Genomic DNA, 21,084 nt, shown 5'->3' with positions numbered 1-21,084 from the left:
CTGCCTCAGCCTCCTGAGTAGCTGGGATTACAGGTGCCCGCCGCCATACCCAGCTAATTTTTATATTTTTAGTAGAGATGGGGTTTCACCATGTTGGCCGGGCTGGTCTTGAACTCCTGACCTCAGGTGATCTGCCTGCCTCGGCCTCCCAAAATGTTGGGATTACAGGCGTGAGCCACCGTGCCCAACTGAGAATTGTAATTTAATGTGGATTTGTAGTGCCTCAGGAACCTGCCCAAAACAAACACATTTTCCTCTGGAGGAATATGCCTCAACCCAGGCCTTAGAGAATGTCCAAGGTCAAGTTCAAATATATATTTACATATAATATGTACAATAATATGATTTTAATAAAAAAACTACCAGAAAGCAAGACACCATGTAAAAGATCAGCCCAAATAACAAATAGAACTTGGCCCAGAAAGACCTGGGATATTGGTCTTAATGAAAACAGCATATAAAACACAACGTTTAATATTTTTAAAGACCTGAAATAGGGAAATGAAAACATAGTAAGAGAATTTAAAAACTAGGAAAGAAACAAAGTAAAACAAATATAGTCATGAATAAATCTTAAATCACTGGGAAGATTAGACAGCAGATAAATACAGCTAAACAGAGAATTAGAAAATTGGGGCCGGGTACAGTGGCTCACACCTGTAATCCCAGCACTTTGGGAAGTCGAGGCAGGTGGATCACCTGAGATCAGGAGGTAGAGATCAGCCTGGCCAACATGGCAAAACGTTGTCACTACTAAAAATATAAAAATTAGCCAGACATGGTGGCACATATCTGTAATCCCAGCTACTTCGAAGGTTGAGGCAGGAGAATCACTTGAACCCGGGAGATGGAGGTTGAGATTGAGCTGAGATTGAGCCACTGCACTCCAGCCTGGGCAACAGAGTGAGACTCTGTCTCGAAAAAAAAAAAAAAAAAAAAAAGAAAAAGAAAAAGAAAAAGAAAAAATTGGCAGACTAGAAGGTAGACCTGCGGAAAATCCACAGACTGCAGCACAAGGGCTGAACACAGACTGACACAGCTGAAGGGAGAATTAGTAGACTGGAAGTTGATATTACAGGGAATGTAGCACCAAGAAAATCAGAGGTGAAAAGACAGGCTCTGAGACACAGAAGGTCAGGGGAGAAGGTCCGGCACAGGGCTAATTGGTGCTGCAGAAAGAAATTCTGCACAGAATAGGAGAGAAGCACTGTCAGGAGGGATAATGGCAAAGGATTTCCTAGAATGAATGAAAGACATAGTCTTTCAGATAAGGAAACCCAGATGAATCCAAGCAGGAAGAGTAGAAATCCATTCAGAGGTGCCTCATAGTGGAACTGCAGAACATGACACACAGGGCTTAAAAGCTGCACCAGAGAACATACAGGTCACCCATACACTACAACAAACAGACCACCTACGACTTCCTATCACACATAAAAGAAGCAAAAAAGGAACAGGAACAACTATCTTCCAAGTTTAGACAGAAAAAAACTGTTAAAGAAAAGCTCTAAAATTGTATGCCCACGGCCAGGCGTGGTGGCTCATGCCTATAATCCCAGCCGAGGCAGGTGGATCACCTGAGGTCAGGAGTTCGAGACCAGCCTGGCCAACATGGTGAAACCCCATCTCTACTAAAAATACAAAATATTAGTTGGGTGTAGTGGCAGGTGCCTGTAGTCCCAGCTACTCAGGAGGCTGAGGCAGGAGAATTGCTTGAACCTGAGAGGTGGAGGTTGCAGTGAGCCGCGACTGCACCACTGCCCTCTAGCCTGGGTGACAGAGCAAGACTCTGTCTCAAAAAAATAAAAATAAAATAATAAATAATAAAAATAAAAAACAAAAAAGACACTCCTAAAATGTTAGTACAGGGATTGGTTGAAAAAAGAACGAAAAAATACAGTACAGGGATTGGTTGAATGAAAAAATACAGTACAGAGATTGGTTGAATGAAAAAATATGGTACAGGGATTGGTTGAAAAAAGAATGAAAAATATTCTTTTTTTTTTGGAGACTGAAATACAGTACAGGATTGGTTGAAAAACACAGTACAGGGATTGGTTGAAAAATACAGTACAGGGATTGGTTGAATGAAAAAATACAGTACAGGGATTGGTTGAAAAAATACAGTACAGGGATTGGTTGAATGAAAAAATACAGTACAGGGATTGGTTGAAAAAAGAATGAAAATATTCTTTTTTTTGTGTGAGACTGAAATACAGTACAGGATTGGTTGAAAAACACAGTACAGGGATTGGTTGAAAAATACAGTACAGGGATTGGGTGAATGAAAAAATACAGTACAGGGATTGGTTGAAAAAAGAATGAAAAATATTCTTTTTGTTTTTGTTTTTTTTTTTTTTTTGGAGACGGAGTTTGCTCTTGTTGCCTAGTCTGGAGTGCAGTGGCACAATCTCGGCTCACTGCAACCTCCACCCCCGGGTTCAAGTGATTCTCCTGCCTCAGCCTCCCGAGTCACTAGGATTACCGGCATGCACCACCAAGCCCGGCTAATTTTGTATTTTTAGTAGAGACGGGGTTTCTCCACGTTGGTCAGGCTGGTCTCGAACTCCCAACCTCATCAGGTGATCCACCCACCTCGGCCTCCCAAAGTGCTGGGATTACAGGCGTGAGCCACTGTGCCCAGCCAGGAAAATAATATTCTGATCAAAATGCAAAAAGCATTGCCAGGGATAAAGAGGTCACAATATGGCGCTGACTCAGGAGAACTACAGAAGAATTCTGAACGTGTATGTACCTATTAGGGTAACTTTAAATTTTATAAAGAAAGCAAATTACACAAGAAATGGCTACAAGAAGAAACTGATCAATCCAGCAGCACACAGGGAGATTTTAACACGCCTCCTTCAGTAATTGATAGAACAAGCAAATAAAAATCAGTAAGGATTTAGAAGATCTGAGCGACAAAGTAACAAACTTGATCCGCAAGATATTTATAGGATTCTGTATACAATAACCGGAGAATATGCTTTCTTCTCCAGGGCCCAAGAAACATTATAGAACTGACTACATATTCAGCCATCAATCAAACCTAAATAGACCTGGAAGGACTGGTACCATAGTAACAGCATTCTCTGAGCACAACGCCAAGTAGTTTAGAAGTCAATAACAATGAAAGAAACCTAAAGCCTAAAAATCTTAATAAATCTAGAAATTTAAAAACATATTTCTAATTACCCACGGGTAAAAAAGTCTCATAATGGAAATTCAGAAATACTTAAGACTAAATAGTGAAAATACCAAAAATGATCATGAATTGTAACACCATATGGTGATAAGTACTTTGTAGTCATAAACGCATATATTAGAAGAAAATCCCCTAAAAATTAATAAGTACCCAACTTAAAAAGTTAGAACAGGAAAATAATTCCAAAGAAAATGAAAGGAAGATAATAAAGGCAACCAGAAATTAATAAAATAGAAAATAAAAATACAATGGGGAGGAATTATAGAGTTGATTTTTTGGAAGAACTAATATAGCTGAACTAAACCTCTAGCAAGACTAATCAATTTTTTTAAAAAATAGAAAACACAAGAACTATTGGGATAGAGAAAATGAACATTACTACACAGGAGAGTAGAGGCTGAAAAGTTAATAAGGGAATATTATGGGCTGGGCGCAGTGGCTCACGCCTGTAATCCCAGCACTTTGGGAGGCTGAGCGGGGGGGGGGGGGGGCAGATCACCAGAGGTCAGGAGTTCGAGACCAGCCTGACCCATATGGTGAAATCCTGTCTCTACTAAAAATATAAAAAATCAGCTGGGCGTGGTGTCAGGCACCTATAGTCCCAGCCACTCGGGAGGCTGAGGCAGGAGAATGGCATGAACTCAGGAGGTGGTGCTTGCAGTGAGCCGAGATCCCGCCACTGTACTCCAGCCTGGGCAACAGAGCAAGACTCTGTCTCAAAAAAAAAAAAAAAAAAAAAATTAGCTGGGCTTGGTGGCACTTGCCTGTAACCCCAGCTACTTGAGAGGCTGAGACAGGAGAATCACTTGAATCTGGGAGGTGGAGGTTGCAGTGAGCCGAGATTGCACCACTGCACTCCAGCCTGGGTGACACAGTGAGACTCCATCTGAAAAAAAAAAAAAAAGAAAAAGGGAATATTATGAACATCTTTTTGCAAATAAATTTGATAATTAGATGAAATGGACACATTCCCAGGAAAATACAAATTCCCAAAACAGACTCAGAAGAGACATCCTGAATCGCACTATAAACAACAACAAAGATTTAATCAGTATTTTAGAAATCTTCTCACAATACAAAAACGAGGCTCAGCTTGTTTTGTGAGCAAGTTCTAGCAAAGCATTCCAGGCACAGATGATTTCCATCTTATTCAAAGTCTTCCAGGAAAGACAGCCAAAGGGAGTGCTCCCGAGCAGATTCTCTGATGATTAGAAAATCCTTGTGCCCGATAGACAAGGGTGGTAAGAGAAGTGAAGTTAATGACACTCTCTTTAATAAGCATATACACAAAATCTCTGAAACAACAACAACAAAAATCAAACCATCTAGCAGTGATGTGGGACAGGCGAGCCCCAGAGTAGGGCTTAGCTGGTGAGGGTTCTTAGCTTCGCCTAGGACAGACTACAAGGGAAAGCTGGCAGTGGGGTAGAATGAGGCAGCTTTACTGAGGTGGCGGGGTTACAGCCCCATGGCTGTTCCCACAGGGCAGGGCCACCCCGCGGGCAGTGTGTCCAGAGTAACAACTTGGGAGGAGTTCTGCAATCATACCTACACCCACTTTCTTTCTTTCTTTTTTTTTTTTTGAGACAGAGTCTCGCTCTGTCACCCAGGCTGGAGTGCAGTGGTGCTATCTTGGCTCACTGCAACCTCCACCTCCTGGGTTCAAGCGATTCTCCTGCCTCACCCTCCCGAGTAGCCGGGATTACAGGTGCCCGCCACCACACCCGGCTAATTTTTGTATTTTTAGTGGAGACAGGGTTTCACCATGTTGGCCAGGCTGGTGCCAAACTCCTGACCTCAAGTGATCCGCCCTCCTTGTCCTCCCAAAGTGCTGGGATTACAGCTGTGAGCCACTACGCCCAAACTTCACTTTCAAATATACGTAAGTTAAAGGGCAAGTTATTTAGAAATTTCTAGAAAAGGGATGATAACTTCCAGGTCACTGCCATGAAAAGGGGTGGTAACTTTCGGGTGTTGCCATGGCAATGCTAAACTGTTGCGGCGCTGGTGGGCCTGTCTTAGGGAGAAGAGCTTTCAGTGCCTCTTCTGTGTTTTAGCTAGTCTTCAATCAGGTCTGGAGTTGACTCCCACCTCCTACCTCAATAGTGTTATATGTACCGTCAAGCAATGCTCAACCCTGGGGATACATTCTGAGACATGCGTAGAATATTATATGCATATTGCTATAATGTTATAGCACCATATCTGTTTGTCTGCACGCATGTTGTTGGACGATTTCGTCACGTGTAAGTGACCTTCCACAGATCCAGTAGTGTACTCTAAGATGGCAGAGCCTACCCCATGGCCAGGCTGTACGGTGTGGCCTGTGGCTCCTGGGCTCCAGGGCTCCAAATGTGCACAGCAGGTGACAGCACTGAACGCTGCAGGCAACTGCAGCACAATACTGTATGTCTGTATGTCTCAACACATCTAAACACAGAGAAGGTGCCGTGAAAACACAGGATCAGTGACTTTAAAGTGGCGTACCTGATATGGCACTTAGCACGAACGGAGCTTGCGGGAGTGGAAGTTGCTCTGGGTGAGTCGGTGAGAGAGGGTGAGTGAGTGTGAAGGCCTGGGACGTTACTGTGCACCACTGGAGACTATTTTTTTGAGACAGGGTCTCGCTCTGTCGCCTAGGCTGGAGTGTAGTGGCACCATCTCGGCTCACTGCAACCTCTATTTCCCAGGTTCAAGCGATTCTTCTGCCTCAGCCTCCTGAGTAGCTGGGACTACAGGCGTGCACCATCAAACCCTGCTAATTTTTGTATTTTTAGTAGAGATGGGGTTTTGCCATGTTGGCCAAGCTGGTCTCGAACTCCTGACTTCTTGTGATCCAACTGCCTCGGCCTCCCAAAATGCTGGGATTATAGGTGTGAGCCACCCTTCCTGGCCTACTGAAGACTTTATAAACACTGTATACTTAAGCTATACTCTGTTTATTAAAAATATTTTTTCTTCAATAATAAAGTAACCTTAGCTTACTGTTACTTTGTAAACTTTAAAAAAATTTTTACTTTTTGGTAATACTTAGCTTAAAACACAAACACGTTGTACAGCTGTACAAAAATATTTTCTTTCTTTATTTTGTAAGTAAGTTTTTTTCTATTAAGGTTGGTGCAAAAATAATACCATTACTTTTTAATCCCATTACTTTTAATGGCAAAAACTGCAATTACTTTTGCACCAACCTAGTATTTTTGAAACTTTTTTCTACCTTTTTTTTTTTTTTTTTTTTTTGATGGAGTCTCGCTGTGTCATCCAGGCTGGAGTGCAGTGGCACGATCTCAGCTCACTGCAACCTCCGCCTCCCAGGTTCAAGCAATTCTCCTGCCTCAGCCTCCTGGGAAGCTAGGATTACAGGCACATGCCACTATGCCTGGCTAATTTTTGTATTTTTAGTAGAGACGGGGTTTCACCATGTTGTCCAGGCTGGTCTTGAACTCCTGACCTCAGGTTATCCTCCTGCCTCGGCCTCCCAAAGTGCTGGGATTACAGGCATGACCCACTGTACCCTTTTTTCTACTTAAAAAATTTTTTGTTACAAACAGAAACACACATATTAGCCCAGTATTAGCCTAGGCCTACACGGGGTCAGGATCGCCAATATCACTGACTTCCCCTCCATATCCTGTCCCAATGGAGGGCTTCAGCAATCCCTCCTGAAGGACCTGCCTGAGGCTGCTTTATAGTTACTTTGTTTTTGTTTTTAATCAGTAGTAGTATACTCTAAGATCATGATAAAAAAGTTGGCCGGGTGTGGCGGCTCACGCTTGTAATCCCAGCACTTTGGGAGGCCGAGGCGGGCGGATCATGAGGTCAGGAGATCGATACCATCCTGGCTAACACAGTGAAACCCCATCTCTACTAAAAACACAAAAGATTAGCAGGGCGCGGTGGCAGGCGCCTGTAGTCTCAGCTACTCGGGAGGCTGAGGCGGGAGAATAGCGTGAACCCGGGAGGCAGAGCTTGCAGTGAGCCGAGATCGCGCCACTGCACTCCAGCCTGGGCGACAGAGTGAGACTCCATCTCAAAAAAAAAAAAAAAAAAAAAAGTATAGGATAGTATATACATGAACTAGTGACACAGTGGTTTATCATCATTTGCAAGTACTGTGCACTGGACGTAATTGTATGTGCTAGACTTTCCTATGACTGGTGGTGCAGAGGGCTTGTTTACCCCAGCATCACGGGTGCGTACACACACATACACACACGAGTAACGTACTGCACGGTGACGTGACGATGGCCACCACAGCACCAGGCGACAGGGAATCTTCAGATCCACTACAATCTCTCATGAGACCCCTGTCGGATGTGCAGTTAGTCACTGACCAAAATGTTTCTACGCGGCGCACGACTGTGTATACATTTGGTCATAATGCTTTTCTAAAAAACAGTGTCTCACTCTGTTGCCCAGGCTGGAGTGCAGTGACACAATCATAGCTCACTGCAGCCTTGAACTCCTGGGCTCAAGTGATCCTCCCACCTCAGCCTCCCAAGTAGCTGGGACTACAGGTGCATGCCACCACACCTGGCTAATTTTTTTTTATTTTTTGTAGAGATGGGATCTTGCTATGTTGCCCCCAGGCTGGTTTCAAACTCCTGGCCTCAAGCGATCCTCCCGCCTTGGCCTCCCAAAGTGCTGGGATTATAGGTGTGAGCCACTGTGCCTGGCCCATAATGTGCTTTATCTATATAATTTGGTTATAATGTGATAGCATGATCTCTTTATGTGTGTGCCTGTATCTGTAACACATTATGACCAAATCAAGTTTATCCCTGGATTGAAACGGTGCCTTAACATTAGGAAATACATTTATACATTCTCCATAGTAACAGAATAAGGAAGGAACATCTCTGGTCATCTCGCTAGCATAGGAAAAATGCTTTTTTAATTTTGTTTTTATTTTTTGAGACAAGGGCTCTCTGTGTCACCCAGGCTGGAGTGCAGTGGTGCAATCACAGCTCACTGCAGGCTTGACTTCCCAGGCTCAAGCGATCCTCCCTCCTCAGCTTCCCAAGTATCTGGAATCACAGGTGTGCAACCACCATGCTTGGCTAGTATTTTTTAAACTTTCACTGGAGACAGGGTCTCCAACGTCTGACTGGTCAGACAGTGTTGCTCAGGCTGGTCTCAAACTCCTGAACTAAAGTGATCCTCCTGCCTCGGCTTCCCAAAGTGCTACAATTATAGGCGTGAGGCACTGCACCTGGCCAGGAAAAACATTTAAAAAAACATAATATCTATGTATCCATAATAAAAATGCATAGCAAAGGGAAGACAACTTCCTTAACCCCAAACCTCAGCCACATGGTATAGCAGCGATGACTTCTGGAAGAACACACAGGATTTTCATGAAGCTTGATGAACTGATTCTAGAATTTAGAGCAGAGTCAAGAACAGTCAAAACGCTCTTGAAGAAGCTAGGAGGGACTTCGCCTCCCAGGTCATAGGGCATATTGTAAATCTGTAGTAACTAAAGGAGTTATGTCATTCTAGTCAAAGGGACAGGATAGACTGAGAGCTCAGAGAGGCACGTGTGACTATATAAACTCGATGCATGGCAAAGGGGGTGCCATAAATCAGCAGGAGGAAACGGACATTCGATAAATGGTGCTTGGGCAACTGGTTATCCCCGTGGGGAGGGGAGCAGGAATGGTATTCAACCATCACTTCATATCAAAAAACAGAAATCAAGGTACAAACATGAGATACAAAGAGCACAAGATACAAAAAGCACAGTGTGACGCAGAAGACTCACACCACAAAGAGAGAAAGTACTATCTGCAACTATAATCACAATGAGCATGTCTGTTTATCAAAAGTCAACACAAAGAAGGTGAAAACAGAGGACGCACACTCAGAGAAGACAATTCCAGCATGCACCTAACTGACAAAGGGTTAGCGTCTAGAATGAAGACTTCCTAAAATCCAAAAGAGAAAAATGACAACCTGATGGAAAGATGGATAAAGGCATGAATAGGCTTTCACTGGAAACAACACACAAATGGCCAACGATGGTCCATCTCAAAGTATTCCAACAAATGGCCAGGCGTGGTGGCTCATGCCTGTTACCCTAGCACTTTGGGAGGCTGAGGCAGGCGGATTAGGAGGTCGGGAGTTCAAGACCAGCCTGGCCAACATGGTGAAACCCCGTCTCTACTAAAAATAGAAAAATTAGCCAGGCGTGGTGGTGCACGCCTGTAATCCCAGTTACTCGGGAGGCTGAGGCAGGAGAATTGCTTGAACCTGGGAGGCAGAGATTGCAGTGAGCTGAGATGGTACCATTGCACTCCAGCCTGGGCAATAGAGTGAGACTCCATCTCAAAAAAAAAAAAAAGTATTACAAGAAATGGAAATGAAAACTTTAACAGGGCACCATTTTGTATAGACTAGACTGACAACAATGATCACGTCTAATGATGTCCAGTGTTAGCAAGGATGTTGGTTGGCAGAGACTCTCGTGCACTGATGGCTGTTCTGAAAATGAATTTCAAATGATCTAGCCATGCCGATGATGTGATACCCTTTGGCCCAGCAATTCCGCTCCTAGGTACAGGCCCGAGACAAACTTCTGCACCAGAGCTCCAGGACAGGACAGACCACTACATCATGGTTCACAAGATCAAACCACCAGAAAAAACTCGATTTCCATGTAACAGATGAATAAATATATGGATGTATATTCATACAATGAAGCACAACACAGAACTGGAGATTAAAGAACTACAGCCATGCCCACCAGTAGATGAATCTTCAAATAATTTTGAATAAAAAACAAGTCGTAAGGGCCAGGCACAGTGGCTCACGTCTGTAATCCCAGTGCTTTGGGAGGCTGAGATGGGAAGATGGCTTGAGTCCAGGAGTTCAAGATCAGCCTGGGCAACATAACAAGACCACATCTCAACAAAAATAAAAAGAATTAGCTGAGCATGGTGGTGCGTGCATCTGTAATCTCAGTTATTTGGATGGCTGAGGCAGGATGATGACTTGAGCCAAGGAGTTTGAGGCTGCAGTGAGCCATGACTGCACCACTGCACTCTAGCCTGGGCAACAAAGACCCAGCTTATTTAAAAAAAAAAAAAAAAAAAAAAAAAAAAAAGCAAGGTGCAAAAAAACAGAATACATACACCGACACCATTTTTATGTATAATTAAAATTAACAAGTAAACACTATTTATGGATGTACCTAAAAGTAGTATCATTAGAATAATTATAAGGAAAAGCAATATCATGATAATAAAAATTAATTCAGACTAGTGGTCACCTCTGGGGTCCAGAGCATGGGATAAAAGAATGGTACAAGGCGCATAACAGGTTCCCGGGTACTTGTTCTGTTCCTAAACTCCCTGATTTTTATATCTATTTTTATATGTTATTGTATGTCAAATAGCTTTCTTTAAAAAAAAAAAGTATTAGAATTCATAAGAGCCCAATAAAGCAGTCAGCTTAAAAATGTGTATTCTGGGCTGGGCGCGGTGCATCACACCTGTAATCCCAGCACTTTGGGAGGCCAAGGCAGGCGGATCACGAGGTCATGAGATCGAGACCATCCTGGCTAACATGGTGAAACCCCGTCTCTACTAAAAATACAAAAAAATTAAGAGTGAGACCCTGTCTCAAAAAAAAAGAAAGAAAGAAAGAAAAGAAAAAAGTAAAAGGAAAGTTTTTCAATACTTAAGGAAAAAAGACAATCAACAGACAGCAGTCCCAGAATAACCCAGGTAACTTTTTTTAATTCATGAGGTTAAGATGAACAATCTGGAAGTGAATGGAAGGATAGAATTTCTCTGCAGAGAGAGAGAAACTAGAATTAAATGGAAATTTTAGAATTGAAAAAAAAAAAAAACACATTATCCAAAATAAAAAATTCATAGGATGGGCTCAATATTAGAATGGAGATGAAAAGAGGAGGCTTTGGGAAACCTGAAGACAGGTCACTATAAACGGTCCACTCTGAAGAACAGAGAGTATAAAAGATTGGGTGGAAAAGGAATAGAATCTCAGGAACCTGTGGAACGATAAGCTCGATTGTTCCTGTCATTGAAATCCCAAAAGGAGAGAAGTAATTGGAGCAGGAAATTATATTTGAAGACATTGTGGCCATACTTTTCCAAATTTGGTAGAAAACATAAATTTGCCGATTCAAGAACTCGGCAAATTCCAAATAGGATAAACACAAAGAAAACAATGCCCAGGCACATCATTATCAAAATGCTGAAAAAGAAAGATAAAGAAGCCTTGAGGGCAGCTGGAGGACGTGATAACCGTGGGAAAAACAATACCTCATGTAACTTTGGGTTTATCCTCAGAAAACACAGAAAATCAACATACTTAAGGTGCCTAAAGAACTGTCAACCTACAATTCTATGTCCAGCAAAAATATCTTTCAGGAATGAAGGGGAAATGAAGATATTTTCAGAGGAAGGAAAATTAAGAGAATTTGTTATCAGTGGACCTTCTTTTAATGAAATTCTAAAGGAAATTCTTCAGACTGAAAGGAAGTAATGCTAGAGGGAAACTGGAACTTAGGAATAAAGGAAAACCAGTAGAAACACAAATATCAGGGTAAATATAACAGAGTGTTTCTTCTTAAGTTCTTTAGAATACATATAACTATTGATAGCAAAAAATGTAACATTTACCTGGGTGGTTTTCAATGTATGCAGACATAAATATGTATGACAGTCTTAACATAAAGGTGGAGAGAATTCTCCACTTACGAAATGTAGCTGAAGTGGTAAAATATTTACTCTATGTAGACCGTGAAAAGTTGCACCATATACACTATAATCTTTAATGCAACCATTAAAAAATACAAGAAGATATAGCAAAAAAGCCAATAGATATATACAGTGGAAAACAAAAAATACTCAAATAATCCAACAGATGAATTTAAAACAGATATGACAAAAACAAAATGGAGGCTCTAAATTCAGCCATATTCATAATCACATTAAATATAATTTTTTTTTTTGAGACAGAGTCTTACTCAGTCACCCAGGCAGGAGCGCAGTGGCACGATCTTGGCTCACTGCAACCTCTGCCTCCTGTGTTCTAGCGATTCTCCTGCCTCAGTCTGCAGAGTAGCTGGGACTACAGGCGCCCGCCACCATGTCTGGCTAATTTTTGTATTTTTTTTTAGTAGAGATGGGGTTTCACCATGTTGGGCAGGCTGGTCTCGAACTCCTGACCTCGTGATCCACCCGCCTTGGCCTCCCAAAGTGCTGGGATTACAGGCGTGAGCCACTGCGCCTGGCCATAAATGATTCTTTAAAAACTTTTATAATAAATGATTATGGTAAAGTTGCAGAATACGAAATCAACACACAAAAGTCAGTAGCATTCCTACACACTAACAACAAACTATCAAGAAAACTGTCCCCCATTTACAATAGCCACAAAACAAGAAAATACTTAGGAATAAATTTAACCAAGCAGGAGAAATATCTGTATACTGAAAACTCTAAGACATTGATAAAAGAAATTAAAACACAAATAAATGGAGAGAGATTTCATGTTCATGGACTGGAAGAATAAATATTGTTAAAACGTTCATACTACCCAAAGTTGTATACAGATACAGTGCAATCCCTATCAAAATTCCAATGTCCTATTTCACAGAAATAGAAAAAAAAATCCTAAAATTCATATGAAACCACACACACACACACACACACACACACACACACACACACACACAGCCAAGGGAATCTTGAGCTAAAAGAACAAAGCTGGAGGCATCACACTACCTGACTTCAAACTATATTACAAAAGCTAAAGTAATTAAAACAGTATGTTGGTCCGGGTGGGGTGGTTCATGCCTGTAATCCCAAAGGGAGGCTGAGGTGGGTGGATTACCTGAGGTCAGGAGCTCCAGACCAGCCTGGCCAACATGGTGAAACCCCGTCTCTACTCAAAATGCAAAAATTAGCTGGGTGTGGTGGCACATGCCTGTAATCCCAGCTACTTCTGAGGCTGAAGCAGGAGAATTGCTTGAACCCTGGAGGCGGAGGTTACAGGGAGCCGAGGTCGCACCACTGCACTCCAGCCTAGGCGGTAGAGCAAGATTCCATCTCTAAATAAATAAATAAAAACAGCATGTTACCAGCATAAAAATGGACGCATCAGCCAATGAAACAAGAGTACAGAGCCCAGAAATGAACCCATGCATTGATGCTCAATTGATTTGCAGCAGAGTTACCAAGAACACACAGTGGGAAAAGGACAGTGTCTGTAACAAAGAGTTTAGGAAACTGGGTATTCACAGACAGAAGAATGAAATTGGACCCTTATCTCATACCACATTAAAAAAAAAACTCAAAATGGATTAGAGACTTAACGTAAGACCTCAAACTGTAAAGCTACTAGAAGAAAACTAGGGAAAACCACAGGCAATTGGTCGGGGCAATGATATTTTGGATTTGATTCCAAAAGCTCAGGCAACAAAAGCAAAAATAACAGGAGGGATTATGTCAAACTGGAAAGCTTCTGCACAGCACAGGAAATAATTAACAGAGTGAAGAGACATCTTACAGATTGAGAAAAAATATCTGCAAGCCACACATCTAATAAGGGCTTAATATCCAAAATACATAAGGAACTCAAACAACTCAACAGTAAGCAAACAACTCGGGCAAAGGCCCTGAATAGACATTTCTCTAAAGAATACATGCAAATGACCAACAGGTAATGAAAACATGCTCATCATCACAAGCCATTAGGGAAATGTACAAATCAAAACTACAATGAGATACCACCTCATGTCTGTTAGGATGGCTAATATCAAAAAGATGAAAGAGGCCAGGTGCGGCGGCTCACGCCTGTAATCCCAGCACCTGGGGAGGCTGAGGTGGGTGGATCACTTGAGGCCAGGAGTTCAAGACCAGCCTGGCCAACATGGCAAAACCCCATCTCTACTAAAAATACAAAAAATTAGCTGGGTGTGGTGGCACATGCCTGTCATCCCAGCTACTCAGGAGGCTGAGGCAGGAGAATTGCTTGAACCTGGGAGGCGGAGGTTGCCATGAGCCAAAATTGTGCCACTGCACTCCAGCCTGGGCGACAGAGTGAGACTATCTCAAAAAAAAAAAAAAAAAATTGATGAAAGATGGCAAGGGTTGGTGAGAATGTGGGGCAAAAGAAACCCTTGTATACTTGCGTGGGAATGTAAACTACTACACCCATTATAGAAAACATGATGCAGCTTCCTCAAAAAGCTAAAAACAGAATGCCCATGTGATCCAGCAATCCCACTTCTGGATATCTCTCCTAAGGATTTGAAATCAGTATGTTGAAGAGATATCTGCCCTCTCATGTCCACTGGAACATTATTTACAATAGTCAAGTTATGGAATCAAACTGGGTGTGCATCAGTGGCTGAATGAATAAAGAAAACGTGGTATACTACTATGGAATACTGTTCAGCCTTGAAAAAGCATGAAATTTTGTCATTTGTAACAACATGGATGAACCCAGAGGACATTTTGCCAAGTGAAATAAGCTGTGCACAGAAAGACAAATATTGCATGTTCTCACTCCTTTTTTTGAGACGGAGTCTCGCTCGGTCACCCAGGCTGGAGTACAGTGGCCCAATCTTGGATCACTGCAAGCTCCGCCTCCTGGGTTCATGCCATTCTCCTGCCTCAGCCTCCCGAGTAGCTGGGACTACAGGCTCCCGCCACCACACCCAGCTAATTTTCTGTATTTTTAGTAGAGACGGGGTTTCACCGTGTTAGCCAGGATGGTCTCGATCTCCTGACCTTGTGATCCGCCCGCCTCGGCCTCCCAAAGTGCTGGGATTACAGGCGTGAGCCACCGCGCCCGCCCTGCATGTTCTCGCTCCCACGTGGAATCTAAAACAACGAAACTCAGAAGCAGAGTAAAATGGTGGTTGTCGCACGTGGGGAGGTGGGGAAAATGGGGAGATATTGGTAAAAGGGGACAAAGTTTCAGTTAGGATGAATACATGGTAAGTGTTTGATGGGATGGATATACTGATTAGCTTGATTCAATCATTCCACACTGTATATGTGTATCATGACATCACTTTGTACCCCATAAATAATTATAATTTGTCAATATAAATTTTTTTAATTTTTTTATTTTTTGAGTTGGAGTCTCGCTCTGTCACCCAGGCTGGAGTGCAGTGGCACGATCTTGGTTCACTGTGACCTCTGCCTCCTGGGTTCAAATGATTCTCCTGCCTCAGCCTCCTGAGAAGCTGGGATTACAGGCACCCACCACCACACTCAGCTCATTTTTGTATTTTTAGTAGAGACGGGGTTTCGCTACGTTGGCCAGGCTGGTCTCAAACTCCTGACCTCAAGTGATCTGCCTGCCTCGGCCTCCCAAAGTGCTGGGATTACAAGTGTGAGCCACCGTGGCTGGCCTAAAATTTTTTTAATAAAATTATTTTTAAAATTTAAAACTAAAAAAAAAGCAAATGTAAATAGTTTAAGTACACCAGTTGAAAGAGAGTGATTGTCAAATTGAATTAAAACAAACAAAATCCCATAGAATCTCCAAAAATGTTCCTCCAGCTAATAAATGAGTTTAGCAAGGTCATGGGAAATAAGGTCAATATACAAAAATTGGCCGGGCACGGTAGCTCAGGCCTGTAATCCCAGCACTTTGAAAGGCCGAGGCAGGTAGATCACCTGAGGTCAGGAGTTTGAGATCAGCCTGACCAATATGATAAAACCCCATCTCTACCTAAAAATACAAAAATTATACAGGCGTGGTGGTGGCGCTGTAGTCCCAGCTACTTGGGAGGCTGAGGCACGAGAATCACTTGAACCTGGGAGGCGGAGGTTGCAGTGAGCCAAGATCTCACCACTGCACTCCAGCCTGGGCAACAGAGTCAGAGTCTGTCTCAAAAAAATAAGTAAAAAGTGAAAAAAAAATATATATGTCTATAGACTAGCAACAAACAGCGGTTGGAGGCTGTAGTGAGCTGGGATTGAACCACCACACTCCAGTCTGGGCCACAGAGTACCCTGTTTCTAAAAATAATAATGATAATAAAGAATGGTTACATAAAGAATTTGGGCAACATGAAATGCTGGTGAGTATTTAGAGCAAACAGAATCATTTTTGGTGGCGGGAGGAAACGTCCCATGCACGGCCACTCTGGAAAACAGTTTCACAGTTTCTCAGACCTACAGTGACCTTCTGAGCTAGCAATCCCATTGTTACTGGCTGGAAGGTGTTAGCTGTGAGCCAAGGTTTGGAACCTGTCCACAAACCTGCCAGGGTCCTCCGAGTACCTTCCCCACTTTCCCTGACATTGTTGGGTATCAGTTGTGGGAAATGAGACTTGCACTGGACTGGACCCCACTCCTCCCGAGAGGGACGGTGCCATGGGACCTGCGGAAGAGGGTGATCCGCTCTGGGGATGTGGGGGGCTGAGGAGGATTTGACAAGAGACAAGTGGCCCTTGTAAGAGGGGGTCATCCACAACATCCAGCTCAGTCTTAGGATTTTTTTTTTTTTTTTTAAGAACAAGTCTCAGGTCTAAAACTCAGTCTCTTTAGACCGAGTTGCCCAGGCTGGAGTGCAGTGGCGCGATCTAGGCTCACTGCAACTCCACCTCCCGAATTCAAGTGATTCTCTGGCCTCAGCCTCCTGAGTAGCCGGGATTACAGGCTTGAGCCATCAAACACCTGGCTAAATTTTTGTATTTTTAGTAGAGACGGGGTTTCACCATGTTGGCCAAGCTGGTCTTGAATCCCTGACCTCAAGTGATCACCTGCCTCTGCCTCCCAAAGTGTTGGGATTACAGGTGTGAGCCATCGCGCCCGGCCTCAGGACTTTTTTTTGAGGGCCCGTCTTAGAAGCTTTACAGATTGCAGGATTCTGGAAGGTGTTTCCCATAGTGGTCTGGCCTAGGGAGGGCCTGCATATTGCAGACGTTTCTGACCTCAGGGGGTCAGGCGACGTCCCCAGCCTTAGGGTGTCAGACATCCCGAACCCCAGGGTGGGCCCTGGCGCTGGTTTGGAGGCGTCCCCCGTAGGCGATGGATTGATTTACTGTGATTCCCCTAGTCCCGGGATGCAATGCTTAGCTATTTGCGTCCCAAGTGAAATAAGCTTCTTCAGCCGGTAACCCTCGTGAGACACGGGACCTCACCACAGACCTTAACACTATTAACAGCAAAGTCAGGGATCCGTCCCTCGGAACCATGAAGAATTCCGGGTTCTCACGCAGAAAGACTCACACATAAAACGGGGGGCCCCTGTCCCGCTCTCAGAAGAGGACCCTAAAAACGTAACTCCACACCACCGCCTCCGGCACAGGGACACAGACACCGACCGGAACGGGGGCTCTCGGCTCCGCAAAGACATTCTGCAGCACAAACATCGCCCTGGCTGTTGCGCGGACGTGTCTTGTGCTCGGCAGGACCTGAACGACCCGTTCCCTGACCGAGTTATCGTGTCACCGGAGACTTCAAGCGGCGGGTGCCCTGGTGGCTTTTCACTGCTCAACCCGCGCCCACAGATGACAGCTTCGACAAAGAAAGAAGAAAAAAACACATCCCCAAATTCGGGCTTACCTCCCGGCCTGCTCGCCAACACGGGTGGCCGGATGGAAGGTCTCGGCTGCGAGTTGTCCAGGGTCTTGGCGTGTTGAAGAAAGAATGGAACAAAATGCACGCACAAAGCAACAAGAGAATGAAGCAAAGAAAGACAAGAGAAAGGACAGGGGAGGAGAAAAGGCACAATTCACGGAGCAAGAGACGCCCCAGCATGTGGCTCAAGAGTCTCCTGATTGCAAGGCTCCCAGGGCTTTTATAAGGCCAAGAAAACTTGGCACCACCCCCTCGGTGCCCTTTAGAGGTCTCCGATTGGTTACCCACCTATGAAGGATTGGCCTTTGACCAATCAGAGGCTGAAGTGGAGGCTCGGCCCGCAGTCAATCAGGGGCTGAAGTAGAGGGGTCTGTCTTGTTATCACAGGTTAAAGGCGGCCTGTGTGCTGCCTCACCTTGCCTAGAACTGGCTGCACCTGCTGGTCTTTTGCTTCTCCCTTAACCCCTGGTTACCTTCATTCTCTATTCTCCTGCCTCAATATCATGGATATCTATCCAGAAAACTGAAAAATTGTGCTCACACAAAAACCGATGCCTGCAAGTTCATAGTTTTGTTCATATTTACTGAAGACGGAACTCAGCCTTCAACTGGTGCATAAGGAAACCGTGATGCCTTCATACCGAGGAATACCACTCAGCAATTAAAATGACACACATACCTACTGGGATCAATCAGACGCCAGCTGAAGGAACCTCTGAAGGTTCCCGCTGGAGGAGTCCTGGGTCTGGGTGATGCCGCAGGGTGGCTGGACCGGGCAGCCAACAGCACTGGGAGGGGCACAGGGCGGGCTAAGGGGTTCAAGGAAGGCTGGTTGCAGAGGCTCGGCACCTGAGAGCTATTTTTGAGGAGCTGCACCTTGATTTTGGCAGTGGTTGCGTGACTCTGTACATTTGTCCGATTCTTAGAATTGCACACCAGAAAAGCTGACTTTTACCTATGTAAATTCAAACAAACTTTTAAAAGAAAGATGTATTTCAAAATAATTTTTATTTTTGGGGAAGGAGTCTTGCTCTGTTGCCCAGGCTGGAGTGCAGTGGCACGATCTTGGCTCACTGCAACCTCTGCCTCCCAGGTTCAAGTGATTCTTCTGCCTCAGCCTCCCAAGTAGCTGGGATTACAGGTGCCCACCACCACACCACACCCGACTAATTTTTGTATTTTTACTAGAGACGGGGTTTCACCATGTTGGCCGGGCTAGTCTTGAACTCCTAACCTCAAGTAATCCACCCACCTCAGCCTCCCAAAGTGCTGGGATTACAGGCATGAGCCACTGCGCCCAGCTAAAGACTTTTTTTTCTGCCTATTAGCAACAGCCATCAGAATAACATGGGGGAAATAGCCCATTCAAAATAATAATAACATGAAATTAAAAATGCTTTAGGTCTCGGAAAAAATGCCACGACCTTAGAGTGAATATCAGTGGGCACTGGGGTGTTGCTCCTGTAGCCCTGGGGTGTTGTTCTTGATGGAAGTGACAGAGCCCACTGGAAGCTGCATGAGCAGACGGGGGTGGGTGGTGTCACCGGCTCCCCAGGCCAGCTGGTTGCAGGACCTCAAACGAGGCACGTGTGGGCGCTGTGGTGTCTTTGCTCTAAACAACTGCTGCTCTCCCTGGTGAATTTTAACTCTGTGTGTGTGTGTGTGTGTGTGTGTGTGTGTGTTTGTGTGTGTTGTACATGCACAGGCACATACACACACAGAGTTAAATGGCTGGGTGGTGGTTACGTGACATGGGTGGCGTGTGTGCGTGGGTGTCATGGGTTGAGTGTTCAAGTCCTAACCGCCAGTGCGTGTGAACGGGAACTTGTTTGGAAACAGGGTCTTTCCAGATGATCAAGGTGAGACGAAATCATTAGGGTGGCCCCTAATCTAATATGACCAGTGACCCCATTACAAGGGGGACATTTGGACACAGAGACAGAGATGCACATGCAAAGATGAAGGCAGAGATCGGGTGAATCTTCTAGAAGCCAAGGGATCACCCAAGGCTGCCCTCCAACGATCGTAAGCTAAATGAGAGAGCCAGGGACGGACTCTCCCTGACAGCCTTGGGAAGGAACCAGCCCTGCCCATGCCTTGCTTTTGGGGGTCCGGCCTCCTGAGCTGTGGGACAATATGTCTCTGTTGTTGGAGCTTCCTAGTGTGTGGCACTTTGTAAAGGCAGCTCTAGCAAAGTGAGGCAGTGTGTACGCTGTTACTTAGTGGGTTTGCACTACTTAGCCTTTAATAAACACCATAGAAGACGTGAAGTTAATTCAGAGAATTCCCAGTTACATGCCAGGCCCCAGCACACACACACACACACACACACACACACACACACACACAGTGACACATGCTTATTCTGTGTGTAAGTTCACAAAGGTTTGGAATGATTTGGGCTCACAGTTTGTTTTGGGTTTTCACCTTGTGGTCTTATATTTTCCTAGGTTTGAGTAATAGGTTCAAAGTAAACAATTAGCCAGGCACAGTGGCTCACGTCTGTAATCCCAGCACCTTGGGAGGTTGAGGCCGGAGGATTGCTTGAGTCCAAGAGTTTAAGACCAGCCTGGGTTGGCCGGGCACAGTGGCTCACGCCTGTAATCCCAGCACTTTGGGAGTCTGAGGCAAGCGGATCACGAGGTCAGGAGATCGAGACCATCCTGGCTAACACAGTAAAACCCCGTTTCTACTAAAAATACAAAATATTAGCCGGGCATGGTGGCAGGTGCCTGCAGTCCCAGCTACTTGGGAGGCTGAGGCAGGAGAATGGCGTGAACCCAGGAGGCGGAGCTTGCAGTGAGCCGAGATTGTGCCACTCCAGCCTGGGTAAGAGAGCAAGACTCTGTCTCAAAAAAAAAAAAAAAAAAAAAAGACCAACCTGGGCAACATAGTGAGACCCTGGTCCCTACAAAAAAATTTAAAAATTAGCCAGCATGGTGGTGCATGCTTGTAATCCCAGCTACTCAGGAAGACTAGGTGGAAGGATCGCTTGAGGCCAGGAGTTGGAGGGTGCAGTGAGCCATGATCTCGCCACTGCACCGCAGCCTGGGTGACAGAGCAAGACCCTGTCTTAAAAAAAAAAAATTGTAGCCCAGGCTGGGCATGGTGCCTCATGCCTGTAATCCCAGCACTTAGGGAAGCCGAGGCGGGTGGATCATCTGAGGTCAGGAGTTCAAGACCAGCCTGGCCGATATGGTAAAACCCCGCCTCCACTAAAAACACAAAAATTAGCCAGGTGTAGTGGTCCACGCCTGTAGTCCCAGCTACTTGGGATCCCGAGGCAGGAGAATCACTTGAACCCAG

The 21,084-nt window shown here is 44.5% G+C and overlaps 1 annotated feature.

The window, feature by feature from the left end:
- Positions 19,295-19,589: a silencer, noted in NCBI's record as "tiled region #13438; K562 Repressive DNase matched - State 12:CtcfO". NCBI's record gives its function as "represses a minimal TATA promoter and a strong SV40 promoter by Sharpr-MPRA in K562 cells {active_cell/tissue: K562}" and the evidence as "EXISTENCE:reporter gene assay evidence [ECO:0000049][PMID:27701403]".

This window comes from Homo sapiens, chromosome 7 (assembly GCF_000001405.40).
Source record: "Homo sapiens chromosome 7, GRCh38.p14 Primary Assembly".
Lineage (NCBI taxonomy): Eukaryota > Metazoa > Chordata > Mammalia > Primates > Hominidae > Homo > Homo sapiens.
Note: the sequence above shows the minus strand (reverse complement) of the source record. Positions and strands in the feature narration are given on the sequence as shown.